At 31.8% G+C, this 4517-nt stretch overlaps 1 annotated feature.

Annotated features, from left to right (window-relative positions):
* Positions 1526-1695: an enhancer, noted in NCBI's record as "experimental_75970 CRE fragment used in MPRA reporter constructs". NCBI's record gives its function as "activates a minimal promoter by MPRAs in K562 erythroleukemia cells, with activity observed for both the introgressed and non-introgressed 4:167324446 variant alleles {active_cell/tissue: K562}" and the evidence as "EXISTENCE:reporter gene assay evidence [ECO:0000049][PMID:34662402]".

Below are 4517 nucleotides of genomic sequence, written 5' to 3' on the forward strand. Positions count from 1 at the left end.
TGTTCTATGTATCAGTTGTTCACACATATTAAAAAGGATTCATGCAAACTGCAGGTACAAATTCACTGCTTAGCATGTCCTTCTCACACTTCAAAGGCATAAATCTCATATACAAATGTGTATTATTTGATAAAATGGTCATAAAATTTCCATGATAAAAATAGTATATATTTTTAGAGATGACAGAGAAGCACTACTGTATTCCCTGCTGAAACAAATGTAGAAAATATAGGTTCATTCGGGGGTCACCATTGACAAGTGCTTTACTTCACTTGATCTTAGGCAAAAGGCTGAGAAGTGATAATTGCCTTGCTTAAGTCCTAAATATTTATCAATTTTTTTGGAGGAAACCTGACCTAAATTGGAGCAGGAAGAAAATAATACACTTTGCAAAGTATTGCACTTATAGTCTTTTCCACATCTTTAAATAATATATTAAAAAAGTTAACGTAGTTTAGGCCAGGTAGCTCATTTAGAGTATAAACCATCTTAAATATTGAGGGATGTTTCAGTTTCAATGTTTATGTGTGGGGCAGAGGGCAGCTATGAACATTTCACATACACTAGTAAAAGCAGAGATTTTTTAAATGACAAATTAATTATTTTAGGAACTAAGCTCATGGGAGTATGATAATTTTTTCAAAGTGGATGTTAAGTCTGGATAAAATATTTTTCTGTTTTGTTGCCTTGTGTTTATCTTAAATTGAATGTAACTTCTAAAGATAAATTAAAGGACTTGCTACTTTAACTAATGATATTTAAATTAAAACAACTTCATCAAAGCATTCAAATTGGAAAGGGAGAAATACAATTATGTCTGCTCACAGATAACATGATCTTATATGTAAAAAATTTTAAAGATTCCACACAGAAACTAAATTATTTAATTTAGTAAATTAAATTACTATTTAGTAAATGAATTTAGCTAAGTCATAGGATACAAAATCAGTGCATAGAAATCAGTTGTGTTTCTATAAACTAACATGAACATTTCAAAAGTAAAATTAAGAAAACAATTTCATTTACAGTAACATCAAAAATAATAAAAATTCTGGCCGGGAGCAGTGGCTCACGCCTGTAACCCCAGCACCTTGGAAGCCAAGGCGGGCAGATCACCAGGAGATCGAGACCATCCTGGCTAACACGGTGAAACCCCATCTCTACTGAAAACACAAAAAATTAGCCGGGCGTGGTGGCGGGCACCTGTAGTCCCAGTTACTCAGGAGGCTGAGGCAGGAGAATGGCATGAACCCAGGAGGTGGAGCTTGCAGTGAGCCGAGATCACACCACTGCACTCCAGCCTGGGCGACAGAGTGAGACACCGTCTCAAAAATGAATAGATAGATGATAGTTAATAAAAATTCTTAGGAATAAGTCTAACCAAGAAAAGGAAAGACTTATATGCTGAAAATTCCAAAATTTTGGCCAAAGTAATTAAAGAAGACACCAATAAATGAAAAGATATTCCACATTTATGATTTAGAAAATTTAATATTGTTAAGGTGTCAGTACTAATCAAAGTGATCTACATATTCAGTATAATCTCTACCAAACAATGTTTGTGTGTGTGTGTGTTTTGTTTTTTGTTTTTTGCAGAAACAGAAAAATGCGTCCTAAAATTCACCTGAAATCTCAAGGGACACCAAATACCTAAAACAATCTTGAAAAAGAAGGTGTCACACACACAATTATGAAAAATAAGAATAAATTTGGAGGTTTCACATTTCCTGATTTCAAAACTTATTGTAAATCTACAGCAATCAAAACAGAGTAGTGGGGCAGGCATAAAGGCTTCCATATAGACCAATGAAATAGAATAGATATTCCAGAAATATACCCTCACATACATGGTCAAGTGATTTTAAACTTGGGTGCCAAGACCATTCAATGGAGGAAAAGACAGTCTTTGTAACAAGCGGTGCAGGAAAACTGAATAGCTATATGTAAACGAATAAAGTTGGACCCTTACTTACCCCACACTCAAAATTAAATCAAAATTGATTAAAGGGTAAATGTAAGGGCTTAGACTATAAACTCTTAGAAGAAAACATAGGATAAAAGTTTAGGACACTGAATTTGACAATAATGTCTTAAACTTGACACCAAAAGCACAGGCAACAAAGCAAGAAAATTAACAAATTGAACCACAGAAAAATTAAAATTTCCATACATCCCAGGGCACCATCAACAGAGTGAAAAGGCAACTCAAAGAATGGGAGAAAATATTTGCAAAGGACACATCTGACAATGGGTTAATATTGAGAGTATAAAACTAACTACAATTTAAAAAACAACAAAAATGGACAATACAATTTTTAAAAAATGGGTAAAGAACTTGAATAGATATTTGTCTAAAGAAGATAAACAAATCACCAATAAACACATGAAAAGATGCTCAATATCACTAATCATTAGCAAAATGCTAATTGAAACCACAATGAGATATGACCTCACACCCATTAGAATAGCTACTCTAAACAAAGGAACTAACAAAAAACACCAAAAAGAAATCAAGTAAGCAAACAAACAAAAAAACCCAGAAAATAATTGTTGGTGGGAAGTGGAGAAATTGTACCCTTTGTGCAGTGCAGGTGGGAATGTAAAACCATGTAGTCACTATAGGAAAAGTAAAAGGAAGTTCCTTAAATAATTAAAAATAGAATTACCATAAGATCAGGCAATTTTACTTCTGGGTATATATCCAAAAGGGATGAAAATAAGGACTGAAAGAGATTTGTAAACCCTTGTTCATAATAACATTATCCAAGTGTCAATCAATAGGTATAGGTAAACAAAATTTGGTATATATGTACAATGGGATATTATTCAGTCTTAAAAGAAATTTTGACACATACTACAACATACATGAATTTTAAGGACAGTGTGCTAAGTGAAATAAGCCAGTCATAAAGACATAAATGCTGTATGATTCCACTTATAAGCAGCACCTAGAGTAGTTAAATTAATAGGGGCAAAAAGTAGAATATTGGTGGCCAGGGACTAGAGAGACAAAGGTTGGGAAGTTGTTGTTTAATAGGTAAAAGTTGTATTTTTCCAAGATGAAGAGTTCTGTGGATGAATGCTAGTGATGATAGCAAAACAATGTGAATGCCACCAAACTATACTTAATGCCACCAAACTATACATTTGAAGATAGTTAAGGTGGTACATTTTATGTTCTATGTATTTTATCACAATTAAAAATTTTTAAATAGCAGTATGATCATAAAATTTTAATTGATATTGAATTCCTAATATTCTAAGGAAATTACATATTTAGTATATGTGAGGAAAAATAAAACTGTCCCCCCTCATTAAAAAAAGTACTAAATTATTATATTTTGTAATATTAGTATTAATAAGAAAACAAAATGAAGAGATGGGTTTTAATTTAAAATTTAATAACTTGTACATTAGAAGAAGAATCTAAGAGTTTTGGAGTGAGTTTATATTAGGCTTCTTATAGTTTTACAAACTTATATACCATTAACTTTCCCTGGAATACATTTTTCAAAAATCTATGTTAAATACTCACTGCTATTTTGAAACTTGTTGTGTGTGTCGTAGTACCTGAAATGTGAAAGATGGTAAATATTCCCTCCCCTTAAAAAACAACAAGGTTGTAGCACAAAATAAAGTTAAGTTTACATTTTTAAAAGGAATAAATGTATTAATTGCTCTTAGCTACATTCAGATGTAAAAATTTGGTACGAACAAAAATATGTATGTTCTCTAAAGTTCAATTTCCCTGTCTATATTAATTATTATTATCTTTGGTGTCCAACAATGTGCTTATAGTTTTAAGCATATCTGAATTCTGTATTTTAAAAAGCACTAACAAGATTCTGTTCTCAATCAATGTCTTCATAGATAAGTTAATTCACAACTTTTTGAGCACTTATGTAGTCTAAAAATAATCATCTTTCTTAATTGAAATACTCACCTGATTTTATTATTCATTTGTAATGTAAGAACTTAAACTGCTATGCATAATTATTAGAGTGGATATTTCTGGTCTATCTGTATTGTTTATAGTTAGCAGAACTGAATTTTGTGGATTTATGAGGCACCCTTGTCTGTAGAAAGGATATAGCCACACAAAGTGTCTAATTGATACTAATTATGCTTTGTATAAAATGGGGACGCTCCAGAATAAGTGGCTCCCTGTATGCAATTTTCCGCATTCATCAATCATAGCAAATCTCTGTGAAAGCTAAAGCCACGATATATCCTATTACAGGGAAAAAAGGAATTAATGGGTACTATAGAACTTCTCCAAGAAAAGAATGCTTAGCCTGTGATTACCTGTATTGTTTGAATCATTAGAAATGTCTGGTTATGGTAAGATTTGTTATTTGTGTGTGTTTCATTCAATAATTCAACACTTTTTGTTCACATAAGGTATAACTCTAATAAAAGACATAATAGAATTTAAGACAAAATTTTCTACTGACACAGAGAAGAGCATTGCATTAGATAATCCAAAGACCATAGATTACAGGAAAAACATGCAAGAA

This window comes from Homo sapiens, chromosome 4 (assembly GCF_000001405.40).
Source record: "Homo sapiens chromosome 4, GRCh38.p14 Primary Assembly".
NCBI classification, from domain to species: domain Eukaryota; kingdom Metazoa; phylum Chordata; class Mammalia; order Primates; family Hominidae; genus Homo; species Homo sapiens.